Below are 18337 nucleotides of genomic sequence, written 5' to 3'. Positions count from 1 at the left end.
AGTTCCAACATAACTCAAATGTTCCTCAAAAACACTTCCACTAAGTTTTGTTATTTAGTCTGCTATACATATGAGAAAGTAAACTGACGAAAGCTAATTACAATCAATCATTGCCCTGAAACTTAAACACCCATCGCACTCCATCCAATGATACCCGGCCTTGATCTCCTACCAAATCTCCATTCAAAACACCCCACTGAAATCAGCAGAACACGAAATGAGAATCTGCTGCCTCACATGAGAACTAGCTACAAGGGAAATGCTAAATATAAAACAGGACAATGCCAAGGTATTCCAAAGTGCAAGATGAAAATGCGAATAAGGGTTTTTATTGAACTCTAGAGAATGATTTTTAAAAAAAGAGAATGATCAAAATAAAAATACTTCTTTTAAAATAGTTCCTTTTAAAATAGATTAATTTTAATGTCCTGAAAATACAGTAAGAACCAGAACAGAACTCAATGTGTTTATTAGAAATATAAGGACAGAAAAATGGAGAACAAGAAATTCTGATAATTAACTAAATCACCCTCTCTTTTTTTTTTTGAGACAGTCTTGCTCTGTCACCCTGTATGGAGCACAGTGGTGCAAATATGGCTCACTGCAGCCTCGAACTCCTGGGCCCAGGTGATCCTCCTGCCTCAGCCTTCCGTGTAGCTGGGACCACAGGCGTGTGCCATCCCACTCAGCGAATTTTTTTTTAGAGATGGGGTTGTGCTATGTTGCCCAGGCTGGTCTCAAACTCCTCGCCTCAAGTGATCCTTCCCACCTGGGCCTCCCAAAGCACTGGAATTACAGGCGTGAGCTACCGCGTCCAGCCTATTGCTCCTTGAGGAGTAAAACTCTTCAAGAGGGTTGTCTAAATGCACCGTCTCCTCTTTCTCTCTTGAATCCATTCCACGCAAGGATGTACCATCACCATTTCCCCCTGAACAACTTCTTTCAAGGACGCCAAGGAACTTATGCTGCTGAATCCTCATTCTCCCAGGCTTCATCTTACTCCATTTGTAAGCTGCAGCATTACTGCAATTAATCTTCTTGGAACTTTCAGAAGACTCCTGTCTCCTGGGCTTCTCCCTCCTCACTGCTTCTCCCTGACTGCACTGGCCTCTCCCTGCTGCAGAGCCTCCCCCTGGTTTCCACTTTGAAATTCTCCATGACTTCACCTAGTCTCCTAGCTTTGAATACACTCTATAAAACGAGATCACTCGGATTTACATGTCCAGCCGGGACCCTCTCTCCTTCACTCTTGCTCTGCATTTCCAGTTCAGCTACTTGGTGCCCCCACTGAGTTGTCTAACGGCCAACTCACACCTGACATAGCAAAGATGAACTCCCGACTTCCTCCTGCCTCTCCTGCAGTGTCTGTTGCATTTCAGTTGACAGCAACTCCATTCTTCCAGTTCATCAGGCCCTCAGCAGTCAATCTGACTGCCTCTTCCTCCACAGTCCATGTCTTATCCCCTCTAAGTCTACACCCGCATGCTCTCGTCTGAACATCTGTCTTGGGTCCTACCACTTCTTGCCACCTCCACCGCTAGCATCCAGGTTCAAGCTGCCTGGGCCTGCAGGAGCCTTCTAGCCCATCTCCTCCCTGCTTTCACCTTCCCCCTCTATGACTTCCAGAGTGATCCTTTTAAAAAGGTAACTCAATTACATCATGATCTCTCAAGCACCAGAGTATTTCCCCGTTTCATTCCGAGCAAGGCAGTCTCTAGGCACACAATATCCCAGATCACCTGCCTGCCCTCTACCTCTCTGAGCCCACCTCCCACAATTGACTGTTTGCTGTGTGACCCTCCCAACTAGATATCTAAGCCTTGTGAAGACAGGGTTTTGTTTGATCTCTCATACAGGACTCCACACAGGTCAAGGTTTGACCCATCTTCCTCCACATCGTGCCCCTAGCACCAAGAACAATGGCTGCTACGTAACAGGTTTTGCTGAATGGTGCAGAAGAGAACTCAAACAGTTGGGAGGACATGAAAGATACAGACAACGCTGAAGGGAAGGAGAAGCAGCAGCAGATGGCTGACTACTGGGAAGTGCATCCTCCTGTTGTAAGCATCCTGCTTACGATGTAATCCCTACTCCATTAGGAACCTCTTGCAGAGCACGACTGCAGTACTGTGGAAATGGCTGTAGGAGATTACTCCTTCTGAGCCATCTACGATAAAAAAATCAACAAAGCATTGTTACTACAGGCCACTTGACGGGCTATGAGAGAAGACTAGTTGTTCATGGTGGTCTTCATTGTAAGACTGTATTTACAGTTCTAAAGTGGCTTAAGTGCTATAAGGGGAAGGGATTAAAAAAACAATCTAACCTGAGAAGGATACAAAGCTGAAGCTGCTAAGATTCCAGGTCTCTTTTCCCTTCTTACTTTCTTATGTCAACAATTAGAAAAGTCTCAGATACTTTTTTTTTAAAGGCCTTTGTTATGATCGAAATGTCTGTGTCCTTTGTCCTGCCCAAATCCGTAAACTGAAACCTAATGACCAATGCGATGGAGAGGAGGAAGGCCTCTGGGAGGGAAAGGGATTTGCATCCCTCCAAAAGAGGTTCCAGAGAGCTGCCCTGCTCCTTCAACCACGGGAGGACGCAGCAGGAAAGTGCCACCTTCACCTGATCCGGATTCAGCCAGCACCTTGATCTTGGACTTCCCAGCCTCCAGGATTGTGAGAAATAAATTTCTGTTGTTTATAAGCCACCCAGTTTATGATATTTTGTTATAACAGCCTGTATGCCGTAAGACATCCTTTCTGGAAAAGGCTCGACACACAGCAAGGCTGAAGCTCACGCCCCCACGCTGCCACAGGGGGAATGGGGAAACTCAATTAGTAACGCAGGGCCCACAGGGCACGTGGAACTCCACACAACACAATTCTTCATCAGCCCTGCACTGAACACAGTATCATTCAGAGGAAAACAAATGCAAGTGAAGAGCATCTTACCTTTCCAAACCAGCCATTTCCAATTTCCTGTATGTAGTTTAGACTGTGGCGGGCAACTTGAGACTTCAATCCCTCTGTAGAGAAAAAAACATTAAAAATGAAATATAAGTATCTAAATATTAAATATATAACCTATAAAGTATGAACACTAACATAAAGGCTTGTGCAAATAAAGGTAGGAATAAATACATAAAACACCTCTTTTAAACGAATCATGCCAAAACAGTTTTAGGCTTTAAAACTGACAATATTTTTTAATGAGTTTCCTACCAATTCTTTAATACCTTGCGCATTGTTTTTTTTCCGATCCAGCTACTCTCATGTAACCACCAATCACCAGGCCAATGGCCTTTACTTAGTCTTCATTTTCATCTCTCTTGAACAGCTCACCTAGACATATGATTAGCACTCTTAAACTACTCTCCTTAATTTTTAAAAAGTTTTACTGAAGTATAATCAATATACAATAAAGTCCACATATTTAAAATATACACTTTGATACACTTTAATATTTGTAAGCACCTGTGAAACCATTACCTAAATAAAATACGGAACATCTCCATTACCCCCAAGTCTTCTGATACCCTCAGTAATCCCTTCCACCTGCCCCCATCTCTACACAACCATTCACGTGCTGTCTGCACTATAATTTGCATTTTCTAAAATGTTATGCAACCAGAATCATATGGTATGTACTCTTTTTTCGATGGTATGGCTTACATAAATTATTTTAAAATTCAATCAAGATCTGGAGTGTATCTAGAGTTTATTCTTACTTTTGTCACAGAAGAGTTTTCCACTGAATGAATATACCACAGCTTGCTTGCTTATTCACAAGTGGACAGACATTCATGTCATTTACAGGTTGAGGCTATCACAAATCAAGATGCTATAAATACATGCATGCAAATCTTTCTAGGGACAAGTGCTTTCATCTCTCTTGAATAAATATGAAGGAGATCATATGGGAGGTGTCTCTAACTTTTCAAGAAGCTGCCAACTGCTTCCTAAAACATGAGTAGCACACAAGGGTTCCAGTTGCTCCGTCTCTTTGCCATCACTTGGTGTAGTCAGTCTTATTCATCTTAGCCATTCTAAAGGGTATGCAATCTTATTTTAGTTTTCATTTTTCCTTTTTTTTTTTTTTTGAGACAGGGTCTCGCTCTGTCACCCAGGCTGGAGTGCAGTGGCGCGATCTCAGCTCACTGCAACCTACGCCTCCCGGGTTCAAGTGATTCTCCCGCCTCAGCCTCCCGAGTAGCTGGGACTACAGGCACCTGCTACCACGCCCGACTACTTTTTGTATTTTTAGTAGAGACAGGGTTTCACCATATTGACCAGGCTGGTCTCAAACTCCTAACCTTGTGATCCGCCCGCCTCGGCCTCCCAAAGTGCATTTTTATTTTCTTAATGCCTAATGATATCAAGTCCCTTTTCACTTGCCTACCTGCCATCTGTATATCTTCTGAGGTGACATATCTATGCAAATCTTTGCCTCATTTTTATTGGCTGTTTCTTATTATTGAGTTTTGAAAGTTCTTTCTATCTTCTGAAACCAAGTCCTTTAACAAATATGTAATCTGCAAATGTTTTCTCCCAGTCCACGGCTAGACTTTTCATTCTCTTAACACTGTTCTCCAAAACACTTTAAATTTTAATTTTAATTTCCAAAAAGCTTTTAATTTTGAAAAGGTCCAATTTATAAATATTTCCTTTTGTGAATGATGCTTTTAGTGTCCTATCTAATAAATCTTTGTCTAACTAAAGATTATAAAGAGTTTATTCTACAAGTTTTATAATTTTAGGTTCTAAATTTAGGTTTATGATGCATTCTGAGTTAGTTTTTACATATGGTGCAAGGTATGGATCAAAGTTCATTTGTTTGCCAATGAATATCCAGTTGTTCCGGCACCATTTAACTGCACCTCTATCGAATTAACTGACAGCAGTGGAAACGGTGACAGCAGTGGAAATGGTGGAGCAGAGATGTCTCCTCTGGCAGCCGTCCCTTCCAAGAAACACTAAAAGACTTTTTTTTAAACTGCCAGTGTCAACCTTATAAAAACTCTAGAAGATGGTCAAAGGTTTACAGCAACCAAAGTGAGCCAGGAGAAAGTCCACTGAGACAGGGTAGAATATCTTTGTAGCTTTAACTTACCCTGCTTCTCCAATCTCCCTCCCCAGTGCAGCTGCAGTCTTAAAGATGACCTGTGTTCCCAGGTGGGTACCAGGGTCCACGGGGAGCACAGTGGACCTTATTCCCAAGGAACTATGTTTAACTTGACCTAACTGGGGTTGTCCTGAGGAACTGCCACAAGTGGCTTCTCTTTGTTTCACGTAACTCACAATTCTATCAGGATGGAGTGGTCACATATTCCTCGAAAACAACGAAAGGCAAATGAGAACAAGCTACTGCCACCTAGGGCAAAAACAACAGTTGAGGCCAACAGTGCACATGCTGAAAGTTTTGGCAGAAAAGCCGGGGAGTGAGATTTTGGAGGAGAAAGGGGGCTTTGGAAAGCTCCCATGTAGATGGGAACCTAGACAGCCACGTGTATGCTCAGGGCAGGATGCGTACTCAGAAAGGCTGAGGAAGAACACAGGCTTTCAGCTGGAGCTGGTCTTCAGGCCCAACACAAGAAGGAAGTGAAGGCTAAGTCAGGGTTATAAACGGCCTGGCTAGGTGTTGAAGGAGTGCCCCAGCAGAGTCAATCTGCAAAGACCTAGACAATATTTTTTGTTTTCTTTCTTCTACTTCTCTTTTGCACATCACATTATTCAAAACGTCCAGTTTCCAACAAAGAAATTATGAAACATGCAAAGAAACAAAAATTGGCCCATTCACAGGTAAAAATGAACAAACGGAAACTGTCACTGAGAAAACAGACATTGGACTAATTATTAGACAAGACTTTATTTTTTATTTTTATTTATTATTATTATTATTATTTTTTTTTTTTTTTGAGACGGAGTCTCGCTCTGTCACCCAGGCTGGAGTGCAGTGGAGCAATCTTGGCTCACTGCAACCTCTGCCTGCCAGGCTCAAGTGATTCTCCTGCCTCAGCCTCCCGAGTAGCTGGGACTACAGGCAAGCGCCACCATGCCCGGCTAACTTTTTTTGTATTTTTGGTGGAGACAGGGTTTCTCCATGTTGGGCAGGCTGGTCTCGAACTCCTGACCTCAGGTGATCCACCCACCTCAGCCTCTCAAAGTGCTGAGATTACAGGCATAAGCCATCACACCTGGCTTAATTTTTTTTCTTTGAGACAGGGTCTCACTGTATCACTCAGGCTGGAGTGCAACAGTGCAATCCCGCACTGCAACCTCTGCCTCTTGGGTTCAACTGATTCTCCTACCTCAGCCTCCTGAGTAGCTGGGACTACAGGCACAAGCTACCACACCTGGCTAATTTTTGTATTTTTTTGTAGAGATGGGGTTTCCCTAGTTGGCCAGGCTGGTCTCGAACTCCTGACCTTGGCCTCTCAAAGTGCTGGAATTACAGGTGTGAGCCACCACGCCCGGCCTAGAAAAGACTTTACATCAACTGTCATGAATATGTTCAGAGAGCTAAAGGAAATGATGGACAAAGAACCAAAGGAAACCAGGAGAATGAGTTTCTCCCAAATAGAGAAGAATTTCTCTAGAAATTCTAGAAGAAGCTTGACCTGAAAAGCACAGTTAAGTGTTCCAACAACAAATTTGGGCAGACAGAATCAGTGAATTTAAAGATGGATCAAATGAAATTATCTAGTCTGAAAAGCAGAAAGGAAAAAGGATGAAGAAAAAGGAACAGAGCCCAAGGAACTTGTGGGACACTGTCAAATAAACCAAGAGACATATTATCAATTGGAGTCCCAGAAGGAGGTGAGAAAGAAAAGGAAACAGAGGGCATGAATCTACACACTCAAAAAACTCCAAGTAAGATAAACTTGCCCAGGCACAGTGGCTCATGCCTGTAATCCCAACACTTTGGGAGGCTAAGGTGGGAGGACTGCTTGAGCCCAGAAGTTTGAGACCAGTTAATTAGGCAACACAGTGAGATGCTGCCTCTATAAGAAATTAAAAATAAATTAGTCAGGAGTGGTAGCGTGCACCTGTAGTCCCAGCTACTTGGGAGGTTGAGGTGGGAGGATCACTGGAGCCCAGGAAGTCGAGGCTGCAGTGAACCATGATTGCAGCACTGCAATCTAGCCTGGGTGACAAAGTGAGACTTAAAAAAAAAAAAAGTAACATAAACTCAAAGAGATCCATACTGAGACACAAACTGTAGAAAACCGAAGACACAGAATCCCGAATGCAGCAAGAGAAAAGCAATTCATCATGTACAAGGGATCCTCAATAAGATTAACAACCAATTACTCAAAAGAATCCGTGGAGGCTAGAAGGCAGTGGGATGACACAGAGAAAGTGCTGAAAGCAAATACCTGTGAATTCTATATCTGGCCAAACTATCTTTTAAAAATGAAGTAGAAATTAAGACATTCTGAGATAAACAAATGTTTAGGGAGTTTGCTGCCAGTATACCTGCCCTACAACAAAAGCTAATGGGAGTCCTCCAGGCTGAAATAAAAGGACACTAAACAGTAACTCAAAGCCATCTGAAGAAATAAAGATCTCCAGTAAAGGTAACTATGTAGGTAAATACGAAAGCCGTTATTACTGTATTATTGGTGTCTAACGCCTCTTTTTATTTCCTACACAATTTAAAATACGAATGCATTAAAAAAATTATAACTCTGTGTTAATAGGCACAAAATGTATAAAGATGTAATTTGTGACAACAACATAAAGGGATGGGACTGAGCTGTACAGGAGCAGAGTTTGTGTGCTGTTGAAGCTAAGCTGGTATCAATTCAAAAGTGTTATCAATTTGGGATGTTAATTGTAATCATTATAATCACTAAGAAAACATTTAAAAATATAATCCAAAGGGAATGAGAAGGGAATCAAAATGGTACATCAAAAAAAAAATTCCTTGATTACAACCATTACAGATTATTTTGTTCCTTCTCCACTCCCACTGGTTCACTTGACTAGACTAAAATAAAATAAAATAAAATAAAATAAAAAAACTATCAGAATCCCAGTGGCCTGTTTTAGAGAAATAGGAAGGCTGATACTTACATTCAGTTGGAATTGTAAGAAATCCCAAATAGGCAAAAGGATTTTGAAAAATTAAAACAAAGAAGACTCATATATCTTGATTTCAAAACTTACTATAAAACCAAAGCTACAGCAATCAAAATGGTGTGGTACTGGCACAGGGACAGACATACAGATCAAGAGTCTGTATCAAGATGGACATACAGCCGAGAGTCCAGAAATAACCCCAAAAAATATAGTAAACTGATTTTCAAAAAGGGTTCCAGGACAATTCAATAGGAAAACAACAGTCTCTCAAACACTGTTAAGTGAGACAACTGGATATCCACGTATACAAGAATTAAGGTGGATCCTTACCTCACACCATATAAAACAATTAACTCAAAATAGATCAAGGAGCAAGAGCTAAAACTATAAAACTTACAGAAGACAACATAGAGATGAATCTTCCTGACCAGGGATTTGGCAATAGTTTCTTAAATATGACACCAAAAGCACAAGCAACAAAAGTAAAAAACAGATAAACTGGACTTCATCAAAATTAAAACGGAAAAGTTTTATGCGTCAAAGGACACTATTAAGAGAGTGAAAGAGAACATATAGAATTTGAGAAATATTTGTAATTCATGTTATTATGACATGATTATGATTAAGAGAATGGTATTGGGAAAAGAAATACACAAATTAATGACAGAGAATAGAAAGCCTAAAATAGACCTATACACATATGGAGGCAGAGAGAAAAGAAAAGATCAGTGCATGAATGAAGCTGAAAAACCACAGCAATCTATAAGGAAAGCTGAAGTTGGATTTCCTCCTAACACCATCCTCAAAAATCAACTCAAGATGGGTTTTAGATCTAAATGTCAAAGCAAAAGCTTAAAATATTTTTTAAAAAGGTATTATTTTAATCACAGAATAAGAAAGAATTTCTTAAGACCACAAAAAGTTCTAACTCTAAAAAGGGCTTAAATTTCATACTCTAAAAAAAACTGTAAAATTTACTATATTAAAATTAGGAATCCTGTGCATCAAAAATCCTTTTTTGTATGTGTGATTGATTTTTTTTTTTTTTAGTGTACCATTTTGATTCCCTCTTCATTTCCCTTTCTGTAAATTTTTTAGTGGTTACCATGGGGATTACAGTTAGCATCCTAAATTTATAACAATCTAGTTTGAATTGATACCAATTTAGCTTCAAAAGCAATGGCATTTACCATTAGATACCCAACTGGCAGGAAGATAAATTGGTCGACTCCTGCAGAGGGTAAGCTGGCAAGACCCACCAAAATTATAAACACATGTACTCTTTGACCCACTTTAAGAAATGTATTCTACGGATACCAGTACAACAACCACCTGCAAAACAACACAGATACAAGCTTTATTTGTTTTCGCATTAGAAACAAGCCAAATATCCATCAACAGGGGGCTGTTTAAATAAACTGTGCTAAACTATACAATCTACATAGTACGAACCTAGAAGCAAGAATACATACGCTTTAATGATATGGAAAGATCTGCAAGGTATGTTGGTAAGTGAAAAAAAAGCAAGATGCAGAATAATGAATTTACCATGACACCTTTGAGTAAAAAAAAAAAAAAAGGAGGACTATGCATGTGTGTGGGTGGGGACATAATAGATATGTCTGTACTTACCTTCCTCTAAATTTTCCCGTGAACCTCAAACTTCTCTATAAAAAGTCTTTTAAAAAACAAAAAATTAAAAAATTAAAAGTAAATGTGAATGGGAGTGAGGGGAGATACCTGCATCAACAAATTCGAGAAAGGTGTATGAAAAACCAGAACCAACAGTGCAGCTGTTACTTAGGGAAGCCAGCAGTGGAAAATAGGTCACATTTAAATACCACAGGGAGACTTTTCAATATATATATATTTTTTCTTTCTTTTTTTTTTTTTGAGACAGAGTCTCGCTTTGTCCCCTAGCCTGGAGTGCAATGGTGAGATATTGGCTCACTGCAAGCTCCGCCTCCCGGGTTCATGCCATTCTCCTGTCTCAGCCTCCCGACTAGCTGGGAATACAGGCGCCCGTCACCATGCCCAGCTAATTTTTTTTTGTATTTTTAGTAGAGACGGAGTTTCACCGTATTAGCCAGGATGGTCTCAATCTCCTGACGTCATGATCCACCTGCCTCGGCCTCCCGAAGTGCTGGGATTACAGGCATGAACCACCGCTCCCAGCCTAAACATATATATTTTTTGTAATGTTATGGTTTTTGAACCAAGTGAATATATTATCTATGCAAAAAATAAAATACATTTTAAAAATAGAAAAAAAGAAAAAAATGGTAGAACTTGTAGAATTGCTTGTATGTGGTATATCTTTTTCATGTACTATATCACAAATATCTTTCGTAGTCAAATACAGTTCACCTTGATCCTTTTATAGGAACACATAAATCGCCACTGTATTGATTGACTATAATTTAGCAAATTGCATATTGACAGACATTTAATCTGTTTCCATCTTACCCTGCCAAACAACGCTGCAATAAATTCCTTTGTACATGCATATTTGCACACTTGCCCAATTAGTTCCTAAAGATAAATTACTAAAAGTGGAACTGCTCGATCAAGAGTCAACATGTCTCATATTTTGATACATGTTGCCCGACTACCCCTCCAGAAAGAACATCTTCAGCAATTTATAGCTGCACTAATCCTAGTGGATGAGACTGCCTGCTGCTCTCCACATGCTCGCCAATCACTACCTGGTGTCATTTCTTTTCATCTTTACCTATCTGCTCTCAGCTTAAGTCAGCATTTCTTTAATTAATAACGAGGTTACTATGTTTATTGGCCATTTGAGATTCTCCTTTCATGTCCTCAGCTTATTTATTCTAGTAGCGTGTTACTTTTTATCCTGCATTTGTTTGTACTCTTGATATGTAACCGTTTTTAATACTGTTTGTAGTTCACAAATATTTTTTGCGACTCTGTCAATTTGTGTGTGGTGTCTTTTTCTATACAGAATATTTCATTTTTGTAAATCAGATTTGGCAGTATGTTCCTTTATGGATTCTGGATTTGGTGCATGCTTGGAAAGGCCTCTCGTATCCCAAGATGATAAAAATATTCTGAGGGTATTCTACTCAGAGAAATTTAAAATAATTTCTTCCTACGGAGAGGGATATTAGGGTACAGGGCTTCAGTAAAACAGAAAGGGGTGTGTATATAAACAAAATTACAATGGCTGCCCAGGTCACCATAATTTCTCTTCTGCCTGCATCTGACTGTGCTCCCATCCATCCCCAGTAGATCCTGAAGAGAAGCTGTCTGTCTGTCCCCACCTTCCTGACCAGTGATGGCTCTGCATCCTGTGACTTAGGTGAAGACAACCAGAATGTCCCTCCAAAGGGTTTTCTTTCTGGTCCAAGGAGAGAGAGAAAGAAGCTCCTTTCCTCTATGGTTATAAAACTACAAGGGAATGGGTGTGGAGCTGCTGGCAGCCAACCTCCCTACTGAGCAGAGAAGCTGCCTAAGAGATTCAGCAGATATGCAAAGAGAAGAGAAAATCAGAAATGAATTAAAATGCTGATGATGTTCCAGGCCCTGGTTCTAGCTGTCTCCAAGGTCAGCTGAACCCCTGTTCTTCCTACGGTCTGGGTCCATGTGTCAGAAAATTCTCGTTTCCACTTAGGCTGATCTAATTTGGAATTCAGCTACTTGAAATGAATCCACCGGGGATCGACTATGGGCCTGTAAAAGCTCTGAGAAGTCTCTCCAGGTTTTTCTTAAGTATAAAGGAAAGCAAATTATCAAACAAGCAACAATAAAATATTTCCATTTAGAGTAAGTATACTTAAGTTATCCCAAGAATATATTAGACCTCCTTTTAAACTTCATTATTTTGGTTGGAGTAGGGGTATTGTTATTTACAGCAATTAAACACTCCAGGTTGTTTTTTTTAATGCTGCAAAATCTATAAATTTAAATATATTCTTACTTTACAAATATTTAAATGAAATGCACCAACTATGTCACGTTCCATCTGGCTTTTTCTTATAGTCATGCCTGCCTGCAGTGGCATCAGTTCGGGGGTTTATTCTGCCCTAGGCAGAGCCCACAGCGTGTGTCACACCAGAAAAGGTAGTCCTAGCATCTACAGACTTACACAGCCTTCTTGCGGCAATCTCAGAAAACCCTACTTCTTGAACCTACTTCTTTGGTCAAAGCAAAAGCTTAAAATATTTTTTAAAAGGTATTATTTTAATCACAGAATAAGAATTTCTTAAGACCACAAAAAGTTCTAACTCTAAAAAGGGCTTAAATTTCAAACTCTAAAAAAAAAAACTATAGTCACATTCTATTTTTCTAGTCACATTCTATTTTTTCACAAGACATCAACTAACACAGAACCAAACCTCTGTCTGAAGAAGCTTAGAAAAGTCAATCTGATTAACATATCCAAACTTTCCTCTCCTACCCAAATGCAGGGCATCCCAGTGGAAGCCAGCAGAGTCCTACTCAGCAAGGTCAGCCGTGGCCAGAACTAGCAGAGAAACCACCTCCAGAACAGAGCCTGGGAGTTCTGGCCAGGTGTTCAATGTCAATGAATCAAGGAGATTCGTTTTATTCTCATACCAGACCCAGGGTCCAGAAAGCAGAAGACAAAGCTATTGCAGGAATACAATGGGCCTGACCACTAGAATTCAGCTTCACTGGGAGCAGAAGGAAGAGAAATAAACCAAAGAGGAGATGGGCAGTCCAATATTTATGATGGCTAGGCTCCCATTCTCAGATCTCAGAAACAATTCATGAAAACGTGGCATTAGGCTGTATGGTCTTACCTACAGAAGGCTGGAATTGCGAGGGAGCTGGGAGTGAAATATTTGGTACTGAAAGTGTGAAGACCTCTGCTGGGGACTGAACAGAGGGAGTGTCTTCTGCTGGTGGTGTGAAATCTATCTCATCATCAAAATTATCTTCAAATTCCTAAAATGAAAGAGAGCAAGCATTAAAAACCATTGGCTAACATTTAAAATAGGAACATATTTGCACAATGATTTGGAACTTGCTGCCACAATTATTTTTTTCCAGTTTGTACTTAATGTTAAGTAAAAAGCATATGTAATTTTGTTCTCTGACTCCAAACAGCAGAATACATAAGACAGGAAAATAAATTATACATATTTCATGTAAGTTTTTAAACTGTTAGTTTGAAGTTAAATGCAATGGAATTTACACAAAAATAGTTTTCTAGGCTTAAAAATTTACTCTCAAATGACTACAGTTTAAGCAATTCTTTTTTTTTTTTTTTTTGAGACAAGGTTTTGCTCTGTTGCCTGGCTGGAGCACAGTGACTGGAGCACAGTGGCATGATCATGGCTCACTGCAGCCTGGACCTCCAGGAACCAAGTGAGCCGCCTACCTCAGCCTCCCGAGTAGCTGGGACCACAGGCACGCATCACCACGCCCAGGTAATTTTTTGAATTTTTTTTTTTTTTGTAGAGGCAGAGTCTCCCTATGTTGCCCAGGCTGATCTCAAGCAATCCTCCTGTCTTAGGCTCCAAAAGTGTTAGGATTACAGATGTTAGCCACAGCGCCTGGCCAAGCAATTCTTTTAATATTATTACTTTTGTGACATGATTCTTTGCATACTGAATCAAAATAAATCATTTTATTTTAAAGTTGTATATGCATTTCTAATTGAAATGTGATTTCTATCAAAATAAATGTTGAAAGACTCAGAAAAGATATTTTTAAGTGAGTTCTATTTCTCTGAAAAGAGTAACAATGGAAACATTACTAAATTAGCTAAAAAAAATCACCAGGATCTGAACCACAAAGGTCACTAAAAAAACCATGTGACGCATAAGTGTAATTAACATATAAGCACGTCTGGCTTTCTAAAGATGACAACTTTACAACTGAGGATGCAGGCAGGCAAAGTGGCTCATGCCTGTAATCCCAGCACTTTGGGAAGCTGAGGCAGGTGGATCACTTGAGCCCGAGAGCTCTAGGCCAGCCTGGGCAACATGGCAAGACCCTGTTTCTACAAATAATGATTTAAAAAAATTAGTCAGGCATGGTGGCGCAGGACTACTGGAGTAGTCCTGGCTACTCAGGAGGCTGAGGGAGGACTGCTTGAGCCTGGGAGGTCAAGGCTGGGTGATAGAGCGAGACCATCTCAAAGACAGAAAGAAGAAAGAAAAGAAAGAAAAGAAAAGAAAAGAAAAGAAAAGAAAAGAAAGAAAGAAAGAAAGAAAGAAAGAAAGAAAGAAAGAAAGAAAGAAAGAAAGAAAGAAAGAAAGTTGTGGAAACCTTTTACGTGACGTTCGGTGGGAAGCTATCGCAATTCTTCCGTCACCATTCTGGTGAACTGGTATACCTTGATATCCATGTTAATTTACCATAGACACGGCCAATTATCAAGTCATTCATCAAATCATTTGTTCAGATAATTAACATGTATTAGCCCTCCAGGCACCATAACAGAAGCTGGGAACAGATCAGTGAACAAGACTGTTCTCCACTGAACAGTCTATGAACTTTTATTTTCATTTTCTCTACCACCTCTCCTAGCCCCCATCCAATACAAGAAAGAAACTAAAAGTTACAATGGTAGATTTCTCTAACACTTGTGTTTCCATATGCGTGTGAGAAGACATTATTCTCATGTATGTTCTCCAGTGCATTAAAGGACATTATTGCTATTTGTATTGATGGAGTTGGGAGCAAGAAAAATGAGGTACCGTAACTTCAATCTGGGAGGGGATTTTTGAACAGAGGAAATCCTTCAATTTTCTTTTGGACATTCCTAAATAGGGCTCTCTCTGTAAAATGATTTTGTCCATCACTCCTACCTTAAAATAATGCCATTCAAAATTTGGCAGCAGCATGATGTACCACTAGATATACCAACAGATGATTCTAAAGATTCAGACCAGGTAATGTAGTATAAAAATAAGAAAAATGGCCAGGCCCGGTGGCTCACGCCTGTAATCCTAGTACTTTGGGAGGCAGAGGCGGGAGGATCACTTGAGCCCAGTAGTTCAAGATCAGCCTGGGCAACATGGTGAAACCCTGTCTCTACAAAAAATACAAAACTTAGCAGGGAATGATGGCGTGTGCCTGCAGTAACCTTAGCTACTCGGGAGGCTAAGGTGGGAGGATTGCTTGAGCCTGGGAGGTTGAGGCTGTAGTGAAGTGTGATCCAGCCTGGGTGACAGAGAGAGACCCTGTCTGAAAAAAGAAAAGAAGAAAAATTAGATAAGCCTGGGTCACTTTTAAAGTTTTGCTGCTGGCTATCTGGATGAATGTCGGCAAGTCACCTGTGTTACCAGACTGTAGCTTCCTGGTCTGTAAAATGACTTCCACGGACCATCAGCTCTAAAACTGCACAGCTTTAAATCTAGAGAAAGCCAATAAATCACAGATGGAAATACTCTTTACACAGTCACACAGACTCTAGAGCTGGAGAGTCCTCTAAGACACTGCGGCCCCTGCGCCAGCATCTCCGGGGGAAGCTTGGTAACAACACAGATTCCTGGCTCTCAAATGAACTCCCGCATTCAATCCTGAGATTCAAAAAGCTTTGCATGATCTAAGGCAAGAATGAGGCATCATGAAATGTGAGATGGAGACTGGATTTCAGTATCAGCAACACTGATCAGGCTTTATCTTTGTCCTGAAATGGCCAGGTTTCTGTGTAAAGTCCCACAGCAAGACTAACAAGCAAGGGACACAAACTGTCCACCGACAACTGTGCCCCTACTACTAGTGCCGTCAGCAGGCGCCATAGCAGTGTGTGTAGGGGTTCTAAGGCCTAGGGACTGATGTTGTGAGTAAAACCCTACAGGTCTGGGGCAAAATATTCTAAAGGAACTGATCTCCATTAGTGTTTTCCAACCACCCTCCTGTGTTCTCAGCCCTCTGTGTGTATACGGCCAGTGCTGACCCAAGAAAACAGCACATCTGTGTGTCTCCTCAGCGCTACTAGAAGGCTTGGGGTAAAGACAGCACACAAAAACAGCCATGAGGTTCTAAAGACCAGGGCCCCATGTCCAGGGAAAACAAGGCTTTAGCCAGAAGACGACCTTTTTTTTCCCTCAATTTGAACCACTGGACCTCCAGGCTCCTGGGCCAGCCCTGCGCGGTCAACAGGGAGTGACATTAAGGACCATTTTCTCTGCACGCCACATTCCTTCCTTCTCCCCCCCATGTATTCCTTTATAACAAGTATTTACATAGGCCGAATGCACTCCAGCAGGCATGCAGTAAGTTCTAGAGGCCTTCCTGGCTGGTTCACTGGTCCATTCCACCGTCTGCTGCTATAACCAGATCTTCTCTATTACCCTCCCTGGCCAGGACTTTACAATCTGCAGCCTCCTCCTCCCTGTTAGGGAACTTGAGGTTTCAATGATCTTCCTCTTTCACAAAACACACTGGGGGATCCCTCTGCCTCAGTAATCTCAGTGACCACAAATTCACCAGTCTACAGAAGTTTCGGGGTGGAGGGGAACAATCATCTTGCTCTTCCTCATAGCCCTTACGGACAACAGTGAATTCAATCACCACGCTTCACTCCTCACTCAGCAAGAACCTCAACTCACCACAGGCAAGTGGTTATTGTCAATGACAGAGGCGGAGCAAACTACAGCTGATGCACCAAATCCAAACCTCCTATTTGTGTAAATAAAGTTTTATTGGCACAAAGCCATGACCATTTGGTAACAGTGTCTATCCTGGCAGAGTTGAGCTGCTGTTTTAGAGACTGTATGGCCCACAATATTTACTATTCACTAAGGTAGAAAATATTTACTATTTGGCCATTAGGGGAAGAAAAAAAATCTGCTGATCCTGTTCCCAAAGGACTGTGCTATCCAGTTATTCTATTGAAAAACATATTGGAAGACCATTTTAAATGTTCCTACCCTCTGTGCTCACCTTAAAGTCTATTTCTGGGTCCTTACAGCAGGATACACAGTTTGCAATTAACACTATTAATATTATTAAACTGCACACACACAGGATCACAAAAGATGAGGAAACTTCTGCAGCAGGTGGCGCCTCCCCTGGAAAGAGAGATAAATAATATTAAAAACATGTACATTCCAAAATCAACTTTAATTAGTGAATCAATATATTTTCCTCTACATACAAATGGGTGTAAGGGTTAATAAAATAATGCTCGAGAAAAAGCTGATGATCCATCCAGGATAAGAAGCTGCTGTTTCTTTGAAATAATTTAGATTTACAGAGGAGTTACAGAGACAATACAGAGAGTTCATATACAGCCTTCACCCAGCTTCCACTAATGCTAACATCGTACATTACCACAGTATGCTGATCAAAACTAGGACAGTAACACTGGTAACAAGGCTATGAAGTGAACTTCAGGCTTTATTCGGATTTTACTGTTTTCTCCACTTTAGTCCTTTTTTCTTTTCAGACTCAATCCAAACTACCAACGTTGCATTTAATCACCACATGCCCCTCAGCTCCTCCAGTCTCTGACAGCTTCTCGTCTTTCCTCGCATTTCATAACTCTTGACACTTTTGAAGAGTGCTGGTCAGTTATTTTGTGGAATGTCTCTCAATCTGGGCCACCCAATGTCTTCTCAGGATTAGACCAAGGTTGTGGCTACCTGGGAAGGAGTTAGAGAATTCCAGTGGGGTGAACTGTCCTGCTTGCACAGCAGGGCGCATGACCTATGCCTGGTGAGGTGACTTTGATCCCATGGGCCAGGTGGCTCCCACCAGGCGTCACCAACCCACTGCAGGCCTACCTTTCCCTTCTCATACTCTATTCCTCGAAAGCAATGCTGGCCCACAGGGAACGGACGTAAGCTGTACTTCCTGGAGGGAGGAGTAGTAGAGTCTGTAGACACAGGTTAAAAACCCTCCAGTAATTAGTAATATCAGGGGAAGAAACTTTGAGGCTATGCAACTGCCTGTTTCTCCTTCAGGTCTTGCACACCAGTTTTCTGCATCTGTCAGGGCATCTTGCCTACAGCAATTACTACTGTGATGTTTGGAAGGTGATTTTCTATTTCCCTCATTTCTTCTACATTTGTTATTTGGAATTCTGTAAGGAAGATTGGTCCCCTCTCCTCCCCTTATTTATTTTATTCAGTCATGTATATACTTATGGACTCACGGATATTTATTCTCCGGGCTGTAATCCAAAGTCATCATCACTTATTTTGTGGCTCCAACGATTCCAGCCTTGTCACTGGGAGCTCTACCAAGGTGACTACTGGATCTTTTTGGCATGCCCCATCCTTCCCTTTTTCTCCAACTCTTCCTTACTTCCG

General features: G+C 41.0%; 1 protein-coding gene across 2 annotated transcripts in view; it reads right to left on the bottom strand.

Annotated features, from left to right (window-relative positions):
• The window catches only part of LMTK2 (lemur tyrosine kinase 2), a 102777-nt gene that overhangs the window by 55229 nt on the left and 29211 nt on the right, over window positions 1-18337 (bottom strand). For both annotated transcript variants that reach the window (NM_014916.4, XM_011515981.4), the window contains exons 2-4: window positions 16968-17095; window positions 12869-13013; window positions 2955-3028 (exon numbers count right to left, since the gene is read on the bottom strand). In NM_014916.4, the coding sequence (NP_055731.2) occupies window positions 2955-3028; window positions 12869-13013; window positions 16968-17095 (347 nt within the window). The remainder of the gene's footprint in view (window positions 1-2954; window positions 3029-12868; window positions 13014-16967; window positions 17096-18337) is intronic.

Source organism: Homo sapiens, chromosome 7 (genome assembly GCF_000001405.40).
Source record: "Homo sapiens chromosome 7, GRCh38.p14 Primary Assembly".
In the NCBI taxonomy this organism is placed as follows: domain Eukaryota; kingdom Metazoa; phylum Chordata; class Mammalia; order Primates; family Hominidae; genus Homo; species Homo sapiens.
Note: the sequence above shows the minus strand (reverse complement) of the source record. Positions and strands in the feature narration are given on the sequence as shown.